The 26247-nt window shown below is 36.8% G+C and overlaps 1 protein-coding gene and 1 long non-coding RNA gene across 8 annotated transcripts in view; one reads left to right on the top strand and one right to left on the bottom strand.

Annotated features, from left to right (window-relative positions):
- The window catches only part of KIAA0825, a 467754-nt gene that overhangs the window by 366082 nt on the left and 75425 nt on the right, over nt 1–26247 (top strand). The window contains exon 22 of one of the 4 annotated variants that reach the window (XM_047417110.1): nt 5492–6408. The exons of the other annotated variants lie outside the window; for them this stretch is intronic. Coding sequence (XP_047273066.1) covers nt 5492–5609 — 118 coding nt within the window. The 3' untranslated portion in view covers nt 5610–6408. Of the gene's footprint in view, nt 1–5491; nt 6409–26247 lie in introns of those variants that run through there. 4 annotated transcript variants of the gene reach the window in all.
- The window catches only part of LOC105379087 (uncharacterized), a 140268-nt gene continuing 114684 nt past the window's right edge, over nt 664–26247 (bottom strand). For 2 of the 4 annotated variants that reach the window (XR_001742441.2, XR_948581.3), the window contains 2 exons: nt 21240–21297; nt 664–763 (listed from right to left, as the gene is read on the bottom strand). This is a non-coding gene — a long non-coding RNA (uncharacterized LOC105379087). Of the gene's footprint in view, nt 764–19089; nt 19471–21239; nt 21298–26247 lie in introns of those variants that run through there. The other 2 variants (XR_001742443.2, XR_948580.3) reach the window with 1 other exon arrangement.

The raw sequence follows: 26247 nt of genomic DNA, 5'->3' as shown, positions 1-26247 counted from the left end.
ATTTTGTGAACAATGCACACAGGTTTAAAATACACTCACTCACTCTCTCTCTCTCTATATATATATACACACCCACACACATATATGTACATGTATATATATTTATGAGAATTTTAAAAATAGGTATAGAGTTATTTAGCATTTAAATAAGTAAAGCATGAAATTTAGAACAGTCTGCAGTTACATAAAGCACCAATACTAAAACAACCACTTAGATTTCCATATTTAGAAGACTTCAGCACACAGCTTAAAATATTTTACACTCAGCCTCTGATTTGTAGCTCTTTCCTGGCTGTTTTATGTAAACATACTGTGTATAATTATGCAGATAATTTTATACAATATTAATTGTGCTAAGAGTGTAGTGAAAGTGTGTTTAATTCAGTAATTCATTTACATTTTAATGATTTTAATAGCATAAGATTACCAAATCAAATTGAAATATCTGTGACCATTATACTATGTTGTGTGAAGAGTTCAAATAGTCATATTGCTTTATATTATACAGAATATATTTATCATGTCTTGTTAATGACAACCAAAAGGAATCTTAAAATATCCATAATGAAAAAACTTTTCAATTCAGTTTTTATTCCAACATTAAATATACTTAGAGAGTGGTACCCAAATGCAATAACATATCAGATATCAGATTATAAAGTATATTTAATACCTGTTTTCAGCACATGAAATGTCGAGTTGGCCTGCATCTTTGAAATACAGTTGGTGCACTGTATTACATTATTTCTTTTTTGCAAACAACCTATACAAAAAAAATGCATTTTATTTATTCCTCTTTAATGTAAGAAGAATGTTTCAAGGTGTTCAATATGAGAAGCAAGTGAATTACTAACTTTTGCATGTAAAGATAGCATCTGAAGCCACTCTCCAAATCAACAAATTTCAGGTTAGCATTTCTTTCTTATTTCTTTCATCATGTACAGATTTAATATCATCAGGAATAAATCTAAGTTGTTTGCTTCTTTCCTCCTAATTCCTGAAGCAATGTAAAAGTCTAGAGAGGTTTGAAGTGACAGGATTACAAGCAGTCTTTTGCATACATGGCCTTTAGGGATAAGCGGCTACCTTGCATCTAATAAACAAGAAAGTGAATTCATTGAATAATGAATTAAGTGGCATAAGTTGTGATAACAAGGAGCAAATGTAACTTCAGACGAATAGTATTTGCTTTGTGTGGGGTTATCTGAGAGGGCTGACGTTCCGCCAAGGGAGACTGAAAAAAGGCTCATTATATTAAGATGTTCTTTTACAGAACACAGTCTAAAATGATCTTGCAGTTTTTTCCCCTGTTTGCTGAACTCCTTTGTGTGCTTCTATCAAATCAACCATCTCCACCAGGGGGATAACTAGGATTCTTTCAGACTGTTGAGTGTTGTCGAAAATGAAAATTCCTGGTGAGTTTTAGATGGGTCACCCAACAATGAAATAGAGATGTCTAATTGGTTCGTCCATATTAGGGTCAGCAGCTGGTTATGGAATAAAAGGTTGTGGTGCCCCATTGCACACTTCTGAACCAAATTAAATTATTAATCTACTCTTTACTTCAGTGTAGCTTCACGGGGATTCCTAACCTGCCATGCTGAATAAAACAGAACGACTGCTTTACATTTTCATTATGGAGAATTATATTTTAAATTGCAAACGTTCTTCTATTTAGTTTGCATTGCATATCTCATTGGATATGTAGAAATGTCTTCAACAGTCAGTGCTTATAACTTGTTTTGTTAATTTCTAATTGTAGCTATAAATTATGAAACCACCAAAAAAGATGATTTGCATGCAGTGCCAACTCTCTAGCCAGAACCAGTTGAGCCATGAAAAGCAAAGTCAAGTCTTAGGGGGCCATTATCTTTGACTCTTAAATTCAAAAGATACAATTAAATTAGTATGTTGCAGGAGGCTTTGTAATCTAACATGAGCTTCCGGTTAATTCAACCAAGGTTATTTCATGATAGCAATTTCTGCCAGGGTGTCAAAGTACTAGTTTTTGTGCCCTTGTATAATTATTTTGACTTTTTTGTTATATAACTACTCTAAAGTGAATATTAACTTTGTGGAAGATTATAGCTGCATTCAGTTTTCTCATAGCATGTAATAATGTCTTAATAATTATATTCTGTTTTCAACAGTAGGCATAGTTGCAATAAAAACATTTACCATATTTTCTTAGAAATTATTTTACAAGTTATTTTCAATCAACATTTTAATATATGCCAACTTTGGACTTTTACTTTAAAATTGTTGAGTTATGAGAGCCATAGTAGAATTAAGTTTAAAAGCTGGTTGATCTTTAAAATGTAGTATGATTTCTAAAGATAAATCACTTAGTAATCACAGCCGAATGAGGGTTCCATTTCTGATGTATTGGATTGGCTAAAGTTTTGAACTTCAGTCATTGGTTCATTTGTGTGTTGGTGTGCATGTGTGTATATTAGCTGAGTCTATTGGAAAACATAAAAACCTGAAGACCAGTGAAGACTTTTTATAAACTAGAAATATCTTGTAAATAATCTAGTTTGTTCATTTATTCATCAAAAACGTATTTACTGGACATCTGCTCATACCAAGTACTGTTTTAGGAACCATCTGAACAAGACAGAGTGAACAAGATAAAGTCCTCCTGTTGTGGAATTTACATTTTAATGGAGGGGAAATAGATAACTTATATAAGTCTATAAATAAATTAGCAAAAAAAAAAAAAACCAGCAGAGCAAAATATTGGGGAAAAAAGCAAAATAATATGATGTCACATAGAGTGACAAAAAAAAATAAGGCTTCTTTAAACAGAGTTGTAAAGGAAGGCCTTTCTGAGGAAGAAGCATTTGAGCTGAGACCTCAGCCATGAGAAGAGCATTCCAAACAGAGAGAACAGCAGGTTATCAGAGCCCTGGGGTGGGAATGAATTTGGCATATGTGAGAAACAGAAAGAAGCAAAACCGGCTTCATGGGCATGCAACCTGGGTGTTACACATGCCCTCATGCTTAAAGGGCCCCCGTTTAGTGCTCTGCTGTCACTACCATGAAATTCTTACATTTTTAACAAGAGGCCTCACATTGGTCTTGCAAATTACATGATCAGTCCAGAAAAGAAGGCTAATATATCTAGAATATAGTGGGGTGGAAGGGGATTGTAGCAGGCAGCAAAATAAGGCCAGTGGGTGATATTTCTGGGTATATAGGGCTGGCACTGGCATCAGTATACTTTGTGAGAGATTAGTTGCACTTTACAATATAGCCATTTTTGTCTGCTAGGTGGGAAAATGGAAATGCTGTTTTTGTTCTATATTTACCCAAATCCTCACATACAGAAGATAAATTCCTCAAAGTTAATGTTGGTGTCTTCTGTGTATTGTGTGCACTTCACAGCATCATGTGATTAGATATTCCACAAATAATAATTGCAGCTAAAAGGAATTTGCCTTCTCTTTTAACCCGATCGGGCTTCCTTAGGAAAAAAAAATATAAGATATTTGGTGTTCACATTTTCATTCTTTCTTTCTTCCCACAGTTATATTATAGCACCAAATCTGTGTGACCATTTAACAATTAGGTTAAATCATGTAAAATTGCCTATATGCAACCATTTGTTACCTAGAAAATGGCAATTTCAATGGTTCATAGCAGGCTGAAATTGCAGGTTTATTTAAGGAAGTAAAATAGAAATCTTAGAAGCATCTTTGTAATCCCTGCAGGATTACTTAACAGAGAGGGGAAAAAACGTAGTTCAGGGTTGTTCATTAGAGCACCACAGTGCACACTGCTGTCAGGTTCATGCTGATGGGTTGGTTTCCTTAGAGGTAAATCCACATTGCAGCAAGGTCTTTCTGCCAGTCAGCAACTTCTCCTTCCTCCCTAACCCACCTCACCAATAATGGGGTCTATGGACTGACATCCACTTTCTACTATGTTCTGTATTACAGCAAGAGATGAGTTGCCAGGAATTACTATGTGAGTGACCCAAGGCCGAGCAGTAGCTCAGACTTGCAACAGGTTACAGAGCTTTGGTCTACAGGCTATTATTCACTGATGACCTTTCCTCTAGGCAAATCTATTTCCATTTGTGTTGATGACCATGATAATTTGCCAAGTGATTACTAAGTACAATGAATTATGGGGTCCTGTGACAGAATCTGGCCAGCAGAGGTTTAATTGTGTCAAATCAGGACACAATTTCACTGATCAGGACAAAGAGGAGATTTTGTCATTCCAGACAGGTAATGAGCTGGCAAATTCTCAAAAAAATTCTTCTGAATGAGAGGCTTTTGTTGTTTGCTTCTTAATGTATCTTTGGGAAGGTTGCTGGTTCTAAGTAATCATTGTCAAGTAGCTTCTTATCTGATACTCTTTTGCATTTTAGCAATACCCTAAAATCCCACTCATTTATGATTATTCTACTTGCACATTCCATTTCTTGCACTTTATTGCTTTCTTTGCTTTTCCTTGAATCTTTCACACTTTGAACCACACACCTATCTATACATTTTTTGAGTTAGTAGTGAGATCATGAATTCCATTCTTAGTAACCTAGCAAAAATGAAAAACTCCTAAGAAGTTTTAGCCTTCCCTTGAAAACATTTTAAAATATATTTATTACCCCCCCTTATATTTTCCTAGTAAATCTCCATTGCCTTCTACTGAAAGATGACTACACATTATCTACTCAACTCTACAATCCTAAAGTATTAATAGAAGAGTGTGTTTGACTTTTTCCCATGCTAAAAAGGACCTCCAAGTTAAAAGTAAAAAAGATTCAACTATTTGGGATATTTTAATCTGTATTTTCTTCTGAACTTTACACTAGCACTGGAAATATTCTTCGAGTGAATGAATGGTCTCAAGGAACTTATTGTCTAGTGATGGAGTTGGACAGACAATGACAGCAAAATACGTGCTGGATAAAGGGAAGTGCAGATATTTATAAAAGCTCAGGGCAAGGACTCACAACCTGGTCTCAGGGAGTCAGGAAAGGTTTCCTGACATCTTCCTGACATCTAAGCTGAAATTAAACCTATTTTAAGGTCTGCACATGCCTCATTTCCCCTGGGTCGATGTAAATAAAATTAAGATGACTTTCCACAGAGCAGCATGCCAGGATCCTCCTTCCTGAATTCTAACACCTTTCAGATTTTCTTTCCCAAAGAACTTGCTCTGTTCTTTGTCTACAATGGGCTTGTTTAAACGTTTTATGCTCATTCATTACCGGTCAAAAGTAGTATGTTCTGTGATGATTACATTGGGCACAAAAATCCTGGGAAAAGGTGTCAATAACATCATAAACTACCACATTCAAAGATAACTTTTAGAGACAAAATACACAAAGTTCCCAAAGAAGCAACTCTCTAATAGTGGGAATTTCAGCTGCTATGGCACGTGAATGGCAAGGAGCTTCCCCCATATTTCTTTAAGTAGGCAGCTGCATACTTTGCCACCATTTTCTACCTCAAGAATGAACTTTCTTATTTATTCTCAGAATGGCAAAAGTGAAGATGAAGAGAATGAAGAAGGTAAGGACAATAAAGAGAGGAGAGAAGAGAAACGACCAAATTCCTTCCACTTTCCTTCCAAACTGTATATCTTTCACTGCTTAAAATAAATCACATCTTTGTTTCACAATCAACCTTACCAAATGAGGCAGGCTGACACTGTGTGGAAGGAGCATGGACTTTGCAGTCATAAAGTTCTGGGTTTGGATCTTGGCTTTGCTGCTTACTAACTGTAATGACTTTGGGCAATTTGCTGAACCTCTCTGAGATTCAGTTTCATTCAGATATAAAAATATCAATACCTAGCACACTGAACAGACAAGAGAATTATGGGACATAACTCATATCTGCTCTATGTATGCATTATAGCTATGGAGTGATCACCATAATGGCAAAGTTCTACTAGAATATTCTATAAACAAAGGGGACAATTACTATAAAACTAAACAAGGTAATGCATATGTAACAGTTTTCACCTTTGAGAGGATTCCTGTGGAATCTTCTCTGCTTGTTCAGTGTGTGCCACCCCACCTGACCCACCCACTCTCCCAAGGCACACACGCACCCTATCTGGTTACGGTGTGGTAAATTAAAGAGAGTGGGGAGAAGGAGTGGAGGAGACCTGGTTCCCTATCATAAGCTTATCAGTACTAATACTCTCAGACAAAAGCTATATCATCAACTTCCTTCACAACATGCTGTAGAAACCGTTGCTCTGGGAATCCCACTTCTAAAACTAGACACTATATACACAGGACAAAGAGAAGCTCTTGTTCACTTTGCCACTTTGGAAAATATTTTGCTTTGCCTCTTCCTGCCAGAAGAAGAAAAGGTAGCTCACTGTTATTATGATAACCTCATATTTTATTGTCTCATCAAAACAATAAAATGTTCTTGAAGATTGTTCCCAGGGTCTGTTTTTAATCTATATGGGAGAAAATCTCATTGTCGAACTAAGATACCATTATTGTGATATTATTCTCTCAGTTTCTCTAAGGATAAGGCTTTCCAAATTGAAGACAGATTATAGATCTGTGTTATGCAGAATTGAGGTCACACTTAAACTTTTTAAAGAACTGAGTAACTTAGGAAGTTGCTGAGTCAGGCTGTTGAGAAACAGCCTTCTATTAAGAGTTTAAAGAGGAAACAGTAAAGTATCTCCTGCCTCCTCGCCGCGCACCCACCAAGCCAATGGTAAGAATTGTGGTTTCTCAAGACCTCTTTTATACTCAAAGGTGATTCCATGAGGGTAGAACTGTCTCTACCATCATATGTCACTTTAGTCATATATCAGTCATATTAAGTTTTGAATTTCCTGTCTTTGTATCATGCTCATAGAGGTAAGTTGACCCCCGCATGCTAACTCTGACTCAAGAGGTTAGATTGTCCTCTGACAAGATCAAAGTGTTGATAGCTAGGAACAGACTTGTCAATAAATGGCCTAGAACTTGGTCAATTCAGACTGCTAAGAAGGAAATAAAAAAAGAAAGGGAGAAAGGGGTAAAGAGGAGAGAAAGCAAGCAAGTAGGTTCAAACAGGCTGCTCTTTTGAACCTAGGAATTAGATATTTTATTGTGATTTCTCTACTCAGAAATTCTGCTTATAAGCAGGCTTCAGTTTTAAACCATTCATCTCTCATTTCTCAACCAAAGTCTGGATATACACAACCAGAACAACTGTTTGCTGAGGGATTTATTAAAAATTTGGAGGTAAATTCTGTTATGAGACTCACTTTGGCATGATAATTGAGACTGCTGTAGAGGGAAGTTTCATGAGCTGTCTTGTGAAACACTGCCTCACTATCTTGAAATACATATCTAGAATTCAAATATTGGAAGGTAAGCCATGGGCATGGTAGCTCCACTCCCTTGCATTTTATCTTTAACCAAGGGACGTTTTAGCCTTTGGCCTCCAATTTCCTTAAATGTGAAGAAGATAAGATACCAGTATTTCATGTAAAAGATAATTTTCAATACCTATCAACTTTGAACAACTAGTAAGTTTTAGATTCTGGATTTGCTAGGTTGCATAGCAAAGCACTTAGTTGTGTTTACAAATACTAAGATTCAGTATATACTTTACTCAGACAATTATTTGAAGAGGAATGTTAAATGGAAGCATATGTACCCCATGTAAATGTAAAACTATAGAGTAATCATAATTGTGTCAATGGATACCATATAGAATATGGATAAACTGTTGATGTTATTAATATGATTTCATATTAATTGGAGGGGTAAGGTACCTAAAGGTTACTCCCTACTATTCGTCAAGTACTTTATGTTATTTATCTCACATGATCCACATGTCTGCTCTGTGAGCTAGGTATTGATATTTTTATACCTGAACAAAACTCAGAAAAGTGACTTGCCAAAGGTCACAGTAAGTGACAAAACCAAGATTCATGTAATCCAAGCTATGTGGGAGGCTGAGATGGGAGGATTGCTTGAGACAAGGAGTTCAGGACCAGCCTGGGCAACATACTGAGACCTTGTCTCCAAGAAAAAAATTTTTTTAAGTTAGCCAGGCATGGTGGTGCACACCTGTAGTCCCAGCTAGCCAGAAAGCTGAGGTGAGAGAATCACTTGAGCCCAGGAGTTCAAGGCTACAGTGAGCTATGATCATGGCACTGTACTCCAGTCTGGATGACAGAGCAAGACCCTGTTCCCTCCCCACAAAAAACCAAGATTCAAACCCAAAACTTGAATGCTTCCAAGTCCATGATTTTCTCACACAACATAATTCTGCTTCAATCAGGTAAAGCTGTCTGTAGAATAAAGATATGGTTTATTCTAAGAGGTAGTAGAAATATAGTTTACGAAGAAGGAAAATTCTTCCCGGTGCACAAACACAGACTTGGCAAATAGCAACGGCCTATCTCATGCTGCAAGACCTTCTTCATATGGTTAGGTTAAAGACAATCAAGCCCAGAAGCCTGGCTGGAACCAGAACCCCGTGCTAATACCTGGAAGACAAGTGGCATGGTCACCATGACAGGCCAGGAAAATTATCCAGAGAGCTTTGTGGATTCCTGAAAAAAGAGAGGTAGGAAGCAGAAAGATAGTGAAATATCTCTGGAGAGCCAAATCAAACACAGAGAAAACACTGCAAGACGATTTATAATTAAGAGCTCAATTTTGTGGTAAAAACTGCTAAATGCTTCAGGCATTTAGATGATAAATCTTTGAGGGCTAGCTTAGTCAGAAAGCCTGCGGTAGGGACAAGCTTCTTAAACTCACAAAGATGGATGTAAACAGGGAGGATGTTCCTAGATGTGTGGGGCAGGGAAGGGAGGGATGAGTATGAGGGAAGACACAAGGCCAGAAAATGAGTGTAACCTCTTCGAAACACTCTAAGATTTTATGGACCTAGGAGATGTGACAGTAATTCAGGGAATTGTGCATTCATTTAACTAGTCCTTTTTCACCACATAAAATTAGATCAAGGAACATTTTGGAACCCTTCTAGTGTAATGACAGCTACACTTATGGAGGTCTTGCTATGGGCCAGGCACTCTGCTAAGCATTTTACTTTCAGTTAATCTTAACAACTACCTATAAGGTATAGAAACTTTCAACTGCCTTACTTCCCACTTAAACAAAGCTAGCAAATGGTAAAGGCCAGGATATGAAGCCAAACAGCATGGCTCCAGACTGTTCAGCCCAGGATGTTATACCCTGCAAGGCCTGCCATTCAGGATCATAAGTATAGTTTTAAGCCCCTTTACCAAAGGCAATTACAGTTGTTACCTCTCAACCCACAAAGGTTAAAACATATGTTTCCAAGTCCTACTGTGTGCATTAATATAACAAGCAAGAATTTGATGAACATTCACTGTGCGCCAGGCATTGTTCTAAGTGTTTTACATGCATTAGCTGATTTAACACTCACAACCCATGGGGTGATAATATCTCAGGTCTTAGAGGAGAAACTGAGGCTTCCGTTGTTTCTATAACTTGCCCACAATCACACAGCTAGTAAGTGTCAGAGACAGGATTTCTACCAAGTTAGTTATGACAAAGGAAACAGAAAAATGCTCAACAGACTTGAAGAACTAAAAAATTCCATATAAGTGAGACAATAAGAAAAATGTACAAGGGGCCAAGCAGGTGGCTCACACCTGTAATCCCAGCACTTTGAGAGGCCAAGGCAGGTGAATCACTTGAGGTCAGGAGTTTGAGACCAGACAACATAGCAAAACCTAATCTCTACTAAAAATACAAAAATTAGCCAGGTGTGGTGGCAGGCACCTGTAATCCCAGCTACTTGGGTGGCTGAGGCAGAAGAATCACTTGAACCCTGGAGGCAGAGGTTGCAGTGAGCCGAGATGGCAGCACTGCACTCCAGCCTGGGCAACAGAGCAAGAAGAAAAAGGAAAAAGCAAAAGGAAAGGAAAGGAAGAAGGAAGGAAGGAAGAAAGGAAAGAAGGAAAGAAAAAAAGGAAGGAAGGAAGGTAGGAAGGAAGGAAAGAAAAATATACAAGGAGATGTCATTTGAACTGATATTTAATGGGTAGGATAGGTGGAAGGCATTTCAGAATGAGGGCTGAGGTCTGGGGTGGGAAGAGTGTTAGAAGGACTAGAAGCAGAGAGACCACTCACGTTAGGTGCTCAAAGAATTGTTGAATAAGTGAGCTGGTGCATGCATGAATATCCAAATGAATCAGCGGGGAATGAAAGCATGCTGATAGTGGTAATGGAAAGGAGAATAACAGAAGAGATATTATAGAGGCAGACTGCAGGATTTAGTAACTAATTGGGATTTTGGAAAAAGGGAACCAGAGAAAGAGAATGTTTAGATGGGGACAAGTTGAATCTGAAATGGCAACCGTATACTTTGAAATGTTCCTCAAGAGTGGGAAACAACATCTGGAATTTGGAAGCAAGTTCATTATACATACCTGTCAATCAACTTAGTTTCTAGTGTAGCAAAGAATTAATTCTAGAAAAAAATTAAAACTTTGAAAACACTTTTAGGCCATGCAAAATTTTGTAGAATGCTCTCTTTCCATATAAATGAGTTATTTGCTTTAAAAAGGAAGAATGAGAGAGAGATAAAGTAAAACAATCTACTGGTAATAAAAACACTGCCTTATTTCAAGCAGTGCTTCTATGAAGTAACCTTGGGATTATATACAAAGCAAATGAAAAGTAAATTGTGACTGGGCCAATTAGTACATTTCTTTTTAATGTTGAAGTTCTGGGAACCTGATTTACATTGAGGAGAAATTTGAGATAATGTTCTGGGAATGTGAGATGGAAATTTCCAGTCTGTCTAAGTCTTTTAAGAGGATAGCAGAAGTTGTACCTAGAATTCAAGTTTTAGTACGACCTCTTTGAAACTCCCCAAATGTAGGAAGGGTATTTTATTTTTAAATGCTTAAAATTCTTTACACAATCTACTGGAAAAAGAAAAAAGATGATGATTCATTCTAAAGTAATCTGTTCATTCATCATCAAGTGAATGGAACCATTTTCCAGCAGGTAGCTGTCCTTAAATTACTCACCACCCCGCAGTAAGTACAATGTCTGCAATTGTTAGGACACGAAATGTCTGGGAAAATAAGAACAAGAGGGAACTTTTGGCAAAGTGAAGCTATCAGATGATACAGATTGGGAGGCTTTGATCCTGTCGTGATGTGAAGGCTTCAGATGTTAATGATGACTATGTAAAACAGTCCAGTATGGAAGCATCTAAGATGAAATTCTTGTAAATTTTTGGCCAGGAACCTAAAACTTGCTTCAGTCTGTGGCTGAAATTTTTGTGCCAAATCAGAAGGCACTTTGCTGGTTCTTTTTTTATAGAAGGGCCAAATGAGATAGATTGGAAATATGTACTTTGAACAGCCAGGCAGAGTCTCAGGAAGTCTGCCAAACAAGATTTCCAAATAAAATGTTTGGGAAAGAAAACAGGGATGGACTTTGCAGATGCTGGATGGATTCCACCAGCCATCTGTGCAAAGAGTTACTTGGTGTCACATCAGCTGAGAGCTATGAAGTGGCACAAAACTATCAGCAATAACTTCATTGTTAAATGGATTCATTTATTTACCAGGCAACCTTTTATTTACCGAGATAAAGTATCTGAATGTATCTGCCTTTCCTGTGAGAAACAATAGCAATGACCAAAATTATTGAAACATAAAGGAATTTCGGCAATGGAACTATTACCTCAGTGCTAATGCATTAGCAGTTGAAGAAGGCAGATTAATTTACTTACGGTGAGCTAAGTGCATTCTTGGCTCACGAAGGGAATCATTTGCTCACTTAAGCCAGAGATCCCATTTTTGACGGCAAATGTCACTGCCTGGATTTCCCTTTGACAGTCTGGCAACCCCACACCCCTGTTATAGTATCCATTTATTTGTCTTATTTTCAGCCAGATTAATCCATTCTGTTTTGACAAGAAGACTGATGGGTAATTGATAACTGTGATAGACACAAACAGAAGAGTTGGATGCTGAATAATTCAGCACTTTTCAGTATCAATAAGAGAACAGGTTGAAGAATTTGTGTCTCTATTTACACTTAAACTAAACTAAGTCAGCCCAGACATTTATGCTGCCAGTCTATCAGAAAACCAAACAGTGTACATTCGGTTTCCACCCGACAAAATGTTTTATAAGCTTGTAACAATATGTGTGAAGCTGCCAGAATAATAAATAGGTACAGCAGCCCATGCATGCTAATGTTATGTTGTAAGCAGTTTTGTTGACAAGTGCTAATACTTCTTTCATACTATCATCAAAAGCAGCTAATACAACAGCCATTATTTGCTGGCTTTCCAAGCAAGACATGATGGATTGTGACCTTAATATGGGTTAGCCGAGTTTTGAAAGTTAAACAACTTGCAATAAATCATAGAATTATTACAATGCAGTTTAATTGGTTAAGGACTGTTTATTTCCTAAACAGGGTGAAAAATTTCTGTTTCGGCACTTTTAATTTGCAAAGTGCATTTTCATTATGAATGGCAGTTTAATATTCTGCTCTTTTGTCATGCAAAATATGCAACACACAGGCAATCTATTAATTGGACAAAAATGCATTGCAAGCGTAAATTATCCTTTATATCATCACTTGTGAGCTTTTACATCTATTAAATGTGTTAAATGGAACATAGTTAAAGACTGTACAACTATTTGCAGGCTACTTCTGAAATTTAAGTCAAGCTTCAAGATGATTTTAATGACCTTTATTTTTGGCAAAATAAAGTAATTAAGTAATTGTAAATAAAAAGGGCAGTTTAAAGAGTTACTCCTTCCTTAAGGCATAGGTGCATATGTTTTGTTGATTCAGCAGTTGCAGGAAACAGACAATAGCACTGTTTCATATTGATATGCCTTGAGAAATGGAATCAAACCTCATGTATTTACTTTTCTCTTTGCCATGGTATAATTTCTAGAGCAGAAATTTCCATTGGCAAACGTGTAGAAATAGGTGAGTAAGGCAGTAGCAAAATGATATTGCAGCATAGCTCAGCATAACTGAATAGCTGCCTCCATATGCTTTGGTTCAATGATGTGCCTTTACACAGGGCTATTTAGAGTGCAGAAACAGTAACAAAATACTTTGTACTAGGAATGTTGATATGACATATGTTTGATTTTCAGAATGCCAGATCTCTCAATGTGTTCCTGTAAGACTGCCTTAAAATACATACAACCTATTCATTTACACAGAACTCTGAGACCGTTTCTCATATTTATTGACACCTGTGTAGACCTTTTGAAAACTTAGAAATTCCACTGATTTCAAACATTTTCTATAGATTGGCCCCGATGAAGCGGGGTTACTATAGTGCTGTCACTCCAAGTCTCCTTCAAAGATACAAATTGTCAGTATTACAAAATGAAAGTTAGAAGTATACTTCAGACAGGCATTCCATTCATTTTTCCTAGGTTATAAAAGTGTTAATATGAGAGTGCATTCTGTTGTTTTAACAGAAAAACTAAAGAACAACTTTTACATACACAAAAGGAATACATTAAAATAAACTGTTCAGAACTTAGATGACAAAGGTAGAAACCAAAAGTTCTGCAAATTGAAGAAATTGTTCAACTTTCTTTATGTTATATAGTGGCACAAATGTGCCACAGTTTCTTAGATATTTCATTCTAAAAGAAGATAAATCTAGTTATAGAATTTTAATCTTGCACTAACGTTGATCATATTCCCTCCCATTTAAATGTCATGCTTACCTAAGCTATGTAATTTCTCTGCCTCAGGAAAAAAGAAAGAAATGGGGGAAGACAAACATGGGAATGCAGGCAGAGAGAGAGAGAGAGGGAGGGACTGTTGATATATTGTGTTGATTGTACTTTTTGGCTTCGCTCGTGGTGAAATGCTAAGGTAAGAATGTACTATTCAATAAGTAATATGGATTGTTAAAAATCAATTATCATTAACCATCACAAATGACTAAAATTTTTCAGTATAGATTAGAAAGTTTTGTCAGGGACATAGCCATGATTAGAAAAACATAAGTGAACATAACCAAAACTCTTAACTTATGAAGGCAATAAGTTGAATTGATTACAATACTTCCTTGGGCACTTTTCAAAGTCATAAGTTAACAGACTATATCTTGGATTTATATAAGAATCACAAGATTTTCTGAAAGCTCAGATGTATAAAACTGAGAGCACATTGGCTATAAACTGAATCATTTTGTTAATATAAATTTTCAGTTATCACTTTCAACTGACTTTTCCTCATATTATAAAAAATTCAAACCTATAGAAAAGTTGAAATAACTTTGCAGTGAATACCTGAACACCCATGATCTTGAGCTACCATTTTGCTACACTTGCCTTTTCATATACCTGCCCATCTTGCCACCCATCCATCAATCCATATAATTTTTTGATGCATTTCAAAGTCAGTTACAGCCATCGTTATATTTTTCCAGAAATCCTTCAGTGTGCTTATCATTAACTAGAGTGCAAAATTAATTTACAGTTCTTTTTTTCTTCTGAGAAATCTGCATGTCATGAAATGTACAAATCTTAAGTGTGCCATTTGATGAATTTCAGCAAACTTTTCATGAGTTTCAGACACGTAATGAGCTCTGTTAGATATTGATATTAAATGAAATCCAGTGAATACAGAAGACTCAAAAGCTCTATTTTCAAACTGTTCACCACTGTTAGACTGAGCTAATCTACAGGGCCACCTCCTACTTAGGACATTCACTTTTGCAGGTCTCTAGTTTATTCTGTTTTGCTAGGAAGAATAGTTTATATCATTGGGCTTCATCAACAATTATAATACTACTTGTTGTGTACCTATTACGGGCAAAGCATTTCACTGAGTGCTGTGAAGAGCATAAGGAGCCTTAAGATATAGAGTCCAAGATATGGAGTCCATCAAAGAGCCTGTGGTAAAAAATGTATACTACCAACTAAAGTGGGATAATACAAGATTATATACTTAGAAACCAAGCGAGTAAGAGAGAAAATGCCAGGGGTGTTTAGAGGAAAGTGGTAAGAATATCTTGGCGTTTGACGGGAGGGCTCCCTCAACTTCATCTTTCGCTTTTACCTTGCTGGCTTGCTTTCTTTTCCTCAAACACACTGAGCTTGCACCCTCATTGCAGCCTTTGTAGTTGTTCCCCCTTTGCCTGCTTTGCAACGTATGACATCCCAAGAGTCTCAGATGATGTAGATGACATCTACATTAAGCAGTGTTTCTTTTCATCTTACTCTATTTTTATGACACAACATTTTCTCTTTAGTGTGTCCATCACATGAGGAACACAAAAATCCTGCAAGATTTTTCAGTGTAGCTCAGTTTATGAAAGTATACCTACGGATTGTAAGCCTTGAATAGTTTTGTATAGTTTAACTTGGTATGGCTTTTGCATATATTATATAATTTTATGCTCACAATAATCTGTGAGATCTGCATCGCCTATACATATAGAGAACTTACACACACAGACACAGACACACACACACACACACACACACACACATATAGCCTATTTAGGCATACTTCAGAGATATTGTCAGTTTGGTCCCAGAGCACCACAATAAAGTGAATATTTCAATAAACTGAGTCACACAAAGTTTTTCCAGTGCACATAACACTTACGTTTACACTATACTGTAGTCTATTAAGTGTGCAATAGCATTATGTCTAAAAAACAATGTACATACTTAATTTAAAAATAATTCATTGCTTTAAAATACTAAGGAGCATCTGGGCCTTCAGCAAGACATAATAATTTTGCTGGTGTAGAGTCTTGTCTCGAAGTTGACAGCTGCTAACTAGTCAGAGTGGTGGTTGCTGAAGGTTGGGGTGACTGTGGCAATTTCTTAAATAAGAGAACAATGAAGTTTGTCACATCAAATGACTTCCTTTTATAAAATACTTCTCTGTAGAATGCGATGCTGTTTGACAGCATTTTACCCACAGTAGAACTTCTTTCAAAATTGAACTTAATCCTCTCAAACCCTGCCACTGCCTTCTCAACTAAATTTATGAAATATTCTAAATTCTTTGTTGTCTTTTTAAGTGTTTAAAGCACCTTCACCAAGAGTAGATTTCATATCAAGAAACCACTTTCTGTGCTCATTCATAAGAATCAACTCCTCATCTTTTCAAGCTTTATCATGAGATTGCAGCAATTCACTCACACCTTCAGGCTCTGCTTTTAATTCAAGTTCTCCTGCTGTTTCCATCACTTCTGCAGTTACTTCCTCCACTGAAGTCCTAAACATCTCAAAGAGTTGGAATCAACTTCTTCCAAACTCCTGTTCATTGTTGATATTTTGACCTCCTCCCACAAGTCACAAATGTTCTTATTGGCATCTACATTGATGAATCCTTTCCAGGTGGATTTCAAGTGACTTTTCCCAGGTCCATCAGAGGAATCACTATCTTTGGCAGCTGTAGTCTTACAAAATGTATTTCTTAAATAATGAGACTTAAAAGTTGAAACTACTCCTTGTTCCATGGGCTACAGAATGGATGTGGTGTTAGCGGCATAAAAACAACATGAATCTCCTTGTACATCTCCATTAGAGCTCTTGGATGACCAGGTGCATTGTTTCAAGGAGCAGTAAGTTTGAAAATAATCTTTTTTTCTGAGCAGTAGGTCTCAACAGTGGATTTAAAATATTCAGTAAACCATGCAATAAACTGATATCCCATGATTCAAGCTTTATTATTCCATTTATAGAGCACAAGCACAGGAGATTTAGCATAATTCCTAAGGGCCCTAGGATTTTTGGAATGGTAAATGAACATATAGGCTTCAACTTAAACTCACCAGCTGCATTAGCCTTAAAAAAAGAAGCAACCTGTCCTTTGAAGCTTTGGAGCAAGACATTGACCTCACCTCTCTAACTATGGATGTCCTAAATGGCGTCTTCTTCCAATAGAAGGCTGTTTCATCTACTTTGAAAATTTGTTGTTTAGTGTAGCCACCTTCTTCAGTGATCTTAGCTTGATCCTTTGAATAACTCGCTGCAGCTTCTCCATCAGCACTTCCTGCTTCACCTTGCACTTTTATGCTATAGAAACAGCTTCTTTCCTTAAACCTCATGAACCAAGTTCTGCTACCTTCAGACTTTTCTTTTGACACTTCCTCACCTCTCTCAGCCTTCACTGAATCGAAGACAGGGTCTTACTCTGGATTAAGATTTGGTTTAAGGGAATGTTGGTGGTGGTTTGATCTTCTACCTGACTGTAAAACCTTTTCCATATCAGCAATAAGGTTGTTTCACTTTCTTATCATTCATGTGTTCATTGGAGTAGCACTTTTAATTTCCTTTAAAAATGTTTCGTTTGCATTCACAACCTGGCTGCCTGCCTGGTGCAAGAGGCCTGGCTTTTGGCCTGTCTTGGCTTTTGATATGCTCCCTCACTAAGCTTAATCATTTCTAGCTTTTGATTTAAAGTTAGAGATGTGCAGCTCTTCCTTTACTTGTACACTTAGGCACAATTGTAAGGTTATTAATGGGCCTATTTCAATTTTTTTTTTTTTTGCCTGAGGAAAGAGGGAGGCCCAAGGAGAGGGAGAGAGACAGGGGAACAGTTGATTGGTGGAGCAGTCAGAAAACACATAACATTTATCAAATAAGTTCACCATCTTCTGTGGGCGCAGTTGATGCCCCTGCAAAACAATTACAATAGTGACATTGATATAGTTTGGATATTTGTCCCAACCCAGATCTCATGTCGAATTGTAATCCCCAATGTTGGAGGTGAGGCTGGTGGGAGGTGTTTGGATCATGGGGGTGGATCCCTCATGAATTCCTTGGGCCATCCCATTGGTGATAAGTGAGCTCTCATTCTGAGTTCACACAAGATCTGGTCATTTAAGTGTATGACATCTCTCCCTCACCTCACTCCTGCCTTTTTCATGTGATGTGCCTGTTTCCCCTTTGCTTCTGCTATGATTGACAGCTCCATGAGGCTTCACCAGAAGCCAAGCAGATGCCAGCATCATGCATCCTGTAAAGCCTGCAGCACCATGAGCCAATTAAACCACTTTTCTTTATAAATTATCCAGTCTGAGGAATTTTTTTATGGCAATGGAAGAATGGCCCAATACAAACACCAAAGACCACTGATCATAGATCACTTTAATACATATTTTTTTTTTATTTTTTTATTTTTATTTTTATTTTTATTTTTTTTTGAGACGGAGTCTCGCTCTGTTGCCCAGGCTGGAGTGCAGTGGCGCGATCTCGGCTCACTGCAAGCTCCGCCTCCCGGGTTCACGCCATTCTCCTGCCTCAGCCTCCCGCGTAGCTGGGACTACAGGTGCCCGCCACCACGCCCGGCTAATTTTTTGTATTTTTTTTTTAGTAGAGACGGGGTTTCACTGTGTTAGCCAGGATGGTCTCGATCTCCTGACCTCGTGATCCACCCGCCTCGGCCTCCCAAAGTGCTGGGATTACAGGCGTGAGCCACCGCGCCCGGCCCACTTTAATACATATTATGATAATAATGAAAAAGTTTTGAATATCGCCGATTACCAACATGTGGTACAGAGACATGAAATGAGCACATGCTGTTGGAAAAATGGTGTCAATAAAATTGCTTGATGCAAGGTTGCCACAAACCTTCAAGTCATTAGATAAAAACAAAAATGCAATATCTGTGGAGCACAATAAAGCAAAGCACAATAAAACAGGTAAGCCTTTATGTATATAGAGAGTACTTGGAGAAATAAAATCACTGAGCCATAAGTTACAAATAAACTGAAACTCAGGAATTTTATTTCTCCAAGTTATCAGCAGAACTTAATAAATACCAGCTATCACTTTTGTTTCTGGAGGGCTGAGACAAAGCACTATTCACTGTAGCAACTTGTTGAAATCCTCATATTCCTTTGCCTCCTCTTCACCATGCAACCCCTGCTGCAACCACTCCTCCCACAATTCATTCAGTATTTCATCAGCCTTGTAACTATCATGACAACTTATATTCAGTCTTGGGGAAAGGTAAGATACAGGCTTTCAAAAAAATAGGTATTTCAAAAATGTTACCAGCATGCTACCATCTTCATAAAAATTAAGGATCCTTGAAGTGTCAAGTTGACTAATGCACAAACACAAACAAGAAATGAGAGATAAATTTAAGTATCTATTATTTTCATAGGAATGACCTACTCCTTTGAAAAGGCCATTTTAATCCCAAATTTCTATTACTGTTTATCAACCAAAAACATTGTTCAGTAATGCCTCATCACTATAGAAGAGTTGTCCCGATGCTTCTCTTTAGGAATCATGTCAATTTGAGTTATAGTACATGCTAGTTAGATACAGTTGCTGAAGACATTGAATCTTTTCAAAGATGTCCTTAAATGCTATGCAAGAGAGTAATTATAACATGCTAATTTGTAGATTCTCTATTTTTATGTTCCTTGTTTTGCCTCTTTTTGCCTCTGGCCTTCGGCAGAATTCTGTCACTTATCAAAATCACTTCTGTGTCCAAAATCCCATTCTTCAGTACTAAAAAATGTATAATTTTAAAAATTAAAACAATATAATTTCCTGTGCAGTATTTTAGTCCATGCAAACTTTAATTACTCCCTGTTAATATTTTTTAAAATATTCTATTACTCCTTGATCCCTAACTTTTATACAGGAAGGCAAATGAATTTATTAAGATAAGGGAAAAAATCTTGTACTTTTTGTGAGTTATGCAAGAATCTTATGTCTAGAGAGCAAGAAATATATCTGTATGAATTTTTTTCATTCCAACTATGGAATCTTTCTTGCAACTTTTTAGTAAATTATAATTCCATTACTTTTTATTCCCCAAGGATGAAAAAAATGAGCTTCATTTTTTGGCAAAACAAATAAACATCCTGAGTTGATAAAAATATCAATTACAAAAGTGTCTACCCTAAAAGTCACATTCATTTTGTTTGTTATTGCAAGTTATTAAAAGGCTTCCAGGCATGCATATAAAACCTGAAAAACAACAGTTGAATCTATCATATTAAATTAAAATCCCTCCATAAAAAAAGTAAACCCAAGTAGTTTATCAGTTAGGGAATGCCATGCTGCCCCAGAAGTCAATACAAATAAGACTTTATTAAAACATAACTAAAATGAAGTTCCACAAGAATTCTCCATGGGAATTGTTCTGCCTCAAATTCAAACGTGGAGAGTAAAAATACATCAGCTGACCTTAATTCCTTTAAAGTAACAAAGGAAGAAAACGGAAACAAATTCCAAGGCCAACAACTGAAATAACACTTCAGAAAATATAGCCTCACAAAGGTATATATGGAAAAATAACTGCTCTGCAAGTTAGACAATTCTCTGCTTTCAAACAATTTATGCTCTTTAATATTTGTACTAGTGGTAAGCTTCTTTGACCATTTGTCTGATACCTAATGTACCTTCTTAAATGAATGCCTACAATTCTGTGTAGCTGCCATGAGTTGGCAATCCAGCTCATTTTCTTCTGTCTTTAGTTATTCTGTATTACTTGCCATATCATTAAACATTATTTTCATAAGAGTTCTCTATTTTCTTCCCCAAAGCAACATATAAAAAATTCAAAGGGTGTGCTCAGATTTGGACAATCGGGTTGTAGTACAGATACGATAGGCTTCCAGTTATACACAGTTCCCAACATGTTAGTTATATCTCTAACCAGATACACAAGTGTTAACACATCCCATCAGAAAGCTGATGTTCTACATTATCATGTTAAATGTCCACAAATTATTTCATGGAATGGATGTCCCAAAATATATTATTTGAATTATCTATAACTGGACATTTACTCAGTCTCTAATATTTTGTCTAAATAATGTCATGATAAACATTACTTAGCTCTTTGAACATCCATCCAGATACGTAATGATTAGAATCTTAATATCTTCAATATTTAAACCAAAAATACAAACCAAAGATCAGCAACAATTTTCATAGTTACATAAGAAAGCAATTTTCCAGATAGCTAGATAAAGAAATTTTCCATTATTACCTTCAGGCTTTCTTATGTACCTAGTGAACTTACTTCTTTATGTACTTAGTGAACTACAGAAAGCAAAGTAATGTAAATGTGTTTTTTTAACTGTTTGATTCACGTTTGAAAGAAACTACCCTTCTAATAAACAGGGTGCAGTATTTCAGACTATCTCCCAAATATGGAAGATATCGAATATCTTCTTCAAACACAAAAAGGTTATTATGTATTAATGGTGACAGGTGTTTGGGTACATATCAGTTTACTGCCCACATAAACTTATTCTGATATTTACCTGAGAAATGAGCCCATATGGAACAACTTCATTCAACACCAAGATGTACCTTGATGCCCTGTTGAGACACATAGAACACTGATTAATGTTATGACCTTTTTACAGTTCCCCCTTTTAAAGAAATAAAAATTATGCAGTCTTTCCTCATAGCTTCAGTTACTACAACATCCTGAACGGAAAAATTTCAGAATTTTTCATGGGAAAACTTTCTATTGGGTAAACATATGTGTTCTTTCCTAGCTTTATTTCTAGAGGGAAACTGTCAAGGTTTTTCATTGGCCCATCTTCTATCTCATTATCCCTATCTTCTGAACACCTGTGGCTTCATGGCATCAATATCTATTTGGAGGCTACAACAATTGAAACTAATCTAAACTAATCCCAGAAAGAGTAAAACAGTAATATTTTATGTTGCATGTAACAGTGAAAATATTGGGAAGGACGTGAGGAAGATCTGATGTGTATGAGTGGCACAGTACCTAGCTCTGTCCATGCTTCCTAAATGTTTCACTGAGCTCAGTAGGTTTACATGGCTTTAAAAGAAACTAAGGAGCCCATACATACCTTTGCCTTTATTTAAATAATCTTTAAAGTTCATTGAGAACTGTTTGTTAAATATGGCAGACTGTTAGATATGGAAGAATCTTCTGAGACCTCACAAAAATAACAGAAATGGTATTTTTTGAAAGTATAAACCCATGAAGACAAAATGAATGGCAGAGAAGACAACAATGTTGAGAGATATCAGGAATTTGAAAAACATAAAACAAGTGCAAGAGTGGAGGTTATAACCTAAGTATCTGGAAAAGAGAATCTTACAAAGTAGGGGGATTCGCCCAACAGAATTCCAGAAAGACTCCAGATTCAGAAGCACTGGTTATCTTGGAAGGCAGAATAGTAGAAAGTTGGAAGTTTCTGAGTCCACAATTTCCTCCTCCATAGGATATAGAAGACTTATTTCTAAAACTAATTCCATTAGGAACACTCTAGGTTGAGGGTGATTAATGGAACTGAAAACACGAGAAGAAATGAATATCTGCCCCCTTGTCCTTAGAATGGTTACCTGCCAGTAATTTACCTTCCAAGTGGGAGATTCTTTTCTGGAGAAACCAAACAGCCCTAGAGACAAGAGCCTCAAATACTAAAATTTGGAAGTCCTCAAACAAAAATTCCAGCTCCAGTGAAACCCCTCAATTGACAGCCCCACCTCCTTCATGCTTACCCACGAACACATATCTTCCAAAGAGTTCTTTAGGGATTTGGATTTAAATATGATAGCCTAGAATTACCTAGATAGCCTAAATGCTTGAGGCAAATCTCTAACATGAATAAAAGAAATCAAAAGAGAGAAATAGAAAAAAAAGAACCCATAGGAATTAGAGATACAGTATCACTAATGATCTAGAGATCTAATGATCTGATCTGAAGACACACCTGCATTAGATGGCAGAAGAAAACTGAAGAAAATCTACAATAAATATTCTCAGAGAATTAAGAATAGCTATTGGATTCTTATAACAAGAACAAGGCACTAATAAAAAATGACCTATAAGAAAACAAGAAATTAAAATATTCTATAGCAGTTTGAAAGATAATGTTGAGAAATTCTGCTAGAAAATAAGGCAAAAAGAAAAAATGTAGAAAATACAGGAAACGATAACAATTCGAGATGTCTTCCTAACGCCCAAATAATAGGAGTCCCTCCTTCAAAAAAAAAGAGAACAGAAAATATTGTCAGAAAGAAGATTACCAAACATCTAATACCAAAAAAAAAAAAAAAATTCAATATGGACCAGTTCCATATTAAAAGGATTTACCAAGTTCTTTGTACAATACATGAAAAGAGACCCATACCAATGTACATCATCACGAACATTATAACTCTCTGGGGATAAAGAGAAGATCTTAAAATCCACAAGAGAAGAAGAAGCAGGCTAAATAGAGAGCACTGGGAATCAGAATACCATTGCTCACCTCAAAAGCAACACTGAAAACCAAAGACTTGCTTTCAAAATTCAGACAGCATGATAGAGACATTTTCACACATACAAGGATTCAAAATATTTACCTCTTATGAACAGGTTTTAAAAGAAAGTACTAGAATATTGCATTGGCAAAATAATGGAGCAAACCAAGAAAGAGTTAGATTCAGAAAGCAGGAAATCTAACACAGGAGGGAAGCAAAGAAAAGTCCCAGCATGATGACTGTGCTGTAGGTCTAGACAGTCTGGATTAAAGGTTACAGGAAATCTCCAAGTCCCAAAAGACCAGAGCTGTGAATGGGTTATAAATGTGGGGAAACTGGTTCTCTCATCCTTGGAGTGGCTGGGTGGGGCCTGGAATGGTCAGAGTCCCAGGCCAGTGGCCTCAAGCCTTTAATACTCTCCTCCCATTTCTCACAAAGAACCATAAAAATATTATTTTCAATCTGTGCCATGACACAGAACATGTTGAAAAGCATTCTGATATATTTGTTGATGTACTGAAACACTCAGAAAATATGATAGGCTTTTAATGGATCTACTGAGAGCATTTGAAAAACTCATGGATGGTTACTGTGGCAGACAGTGGACTGATACCTAAAAGCCATTCACAATCCTCTTTTCCTTTGAGTTCTTTGGCGTAGGGACTGGAAACCTGAATTGCTGATTTTTCCAAACTCCATTGTGTCTAGATGTGGTCATGTGACTTAGTTCTGGCCAGTGAGATGTGGGTAGAACCTGCTGAGCAGAGCTTCTGGAAAAGCAGCTAATCATGACCATGGAGCTAAGACCCATACACTAAGAATGGAGGAACAGGAGGTGGGAGGAAGCCTGAGTCCTTGGTAATACTGAGGTGTCTTCCCCTCATGGTTGTAAGTGGCTACACTATGGCAAATAATCAATATCTAAAATTGATGAGTCAAGAGACAGAAATATTAGAAGACTATTTAGAAAAATGGAGGTAAATATCAGAAGAAACAGATCTTTCTGCATACTTGTTGCCGTTGAGGTGTGGGGAAGGGTGAGAAAATGACATATTTTCCATTATGTATTATTTAGGCTTTTAAAGCTATGTGTATGTATTATTCTAATAAAACTTAATTCAAAGTACTCTAAGTTACCAAAAAAGCAAGAGATGATAGCATTGAAATGAAATCCTGATGTCAAAGTCTCAAAAATAGCCAGTAGAATTTACATATTCCTCAAATCAGAAAAGAATAAAGGTTTATTTCATGGATGGACTAAGACACATTTAACTAGATCCTTTTTTTCTTCTAGTTTCTCTCACAGTTACTGTGAAAATCTAAATGTTGAAAAACTTAAAATTTTTTTTTATTATTATACATTAAGTTCTAGGGTACATGTGCACAACATGCAGGTTTGTTACACAGGTATACATGTGCCATGTTGGTTTGCTGCACCCATCACTTACAGTAGGCATTTCTCCTAATGTTATCCCTCTCCCAGCCCTCAACCCCCGAGACAGGTCACAGTGTGTGATGTTCCCCGCCCTGTGTCCATGTGTTCTCATTGTTCAACTCCCACCTATGAGTGAGAACATGCAGTGTTTGGTTTTCTGTCCTTGTGACAGTTTGCAGAGAATGATGGTTTCCAGCTTCATCCATGTCCCTGCAAAGGACATGAACTCATCTTTTTTATGGCTGCGTAGTATCCCATGGTGTATTTGCGCCATATTTTCTTTTTTTTTTAATTTTCCTGACTGTACATTTTCTTTTTTATTTTATTTTATTATTATTATCCTTTAAGTTTTAGGGTACATGTGCACAATGTGCAGGTTAGTTACATATGTATACATGTGCCATGCTGGTGTGCTGCACCCATTAACTCGTCATTTAGCATTAAGTATATCTCCTAAAGCTATCCCTCCCCACTTCCCCCACCCCACAACAGTCCCCAGAGTGTGATATTCCCCTTCCTGTGTCCATGTGTTCTCATTGTTCAATTCCCACCTATGAGTGAGAATATGCGGTGTTTGGTTTTTTGTTCTTGCGATAGTTTACTGAGAATGATGATTTCCAATTTCATCCATGTCCCTACAAAGGACATGAACTCATCATTTTTTATGGCTGCATAATATTCCATGGTGTATATGTGCCACATTTTCTTGATCCAGTCTATCATTGTTGGACATTTGGGTTGGTTCCAAATCTTTGCTATTGTGAATAGTGCAGCAATAAACATACGTGTGCATGTGTCTTTATAGCAGCATGATTTATAGTCCTTTGGGTATATACCCAGTAATGGGATGGCTGGGTCAAATGGTATTTCTAGTTCTGGATCCCTGAGGAATCGCCACACTGACTTCCACAAGGGTTGAACTAGTTTACAGTCCCACCAACAATGTAAAAGTGTTCCTATTCCTCCACCTCCTCTCCAGCACCTGTTGTTTCCTGACTTTTTAATGATTGCCATTCTAACTGGCGTGAGATGGTATCTCATTGTGGTTTTGATTTGCATTTCTCTGATGGCCAGTGATGGTGAGCATTTTTTCATGTGTTTTTTGGCTGCATAAATGTCTTCTTTTGAGAAGTGTCTGTTCATGTCCTTTGCCCACTTTTTGATGGGGTTGTTTGTTTTTTTCTTGTAAATTTGTTTGAGTTCATTGTAGATTCTGGATATTATGTTCCGTATTTTCTTAATCCACTCTATCATTGATGGACATTTGGGTTGGTTCCAAGTCTTTGATATTGTGAATAGTCCCACAATAAACATATTTGTGCATATGTCTTTATAGCAGCATGATTTATAATCCTATGGGTATATACTCAGTTTATGGGATTGCTGGGTCAAATGGTATTTCTAGTTTCAGATCCTTGAGGAATCACCACACTGTCTTCCACAATGGTTGAACTAATTTACACTCCCACCAACAGTGTAAAAGTGTTCCTATTCCTCCACATCCTCTCCAGCACCTGTTGTTTCCTGACTTTTTAGTGATAGCCATTCTAACTGGCATGAGATGGTATCTCATTGTGGTTTTGATTTGCATTTCTCTGATGACCAGT

This window comes from Homo sapiens, chromosome 5 (genome assembly GCF_000001405.40).
Source record: "Homo sapiens chromosome 5, GRCh38.p14 Primary Assembly".
Lineage (NCBI taxonomy): Eukaryota > Metazoa > Chordata > Mammalia > Primates > Hominidae > Homo > Homo sapiens.
This window is presented reverse-complemented; position numbering and strand designations above follow the sequence as displayed.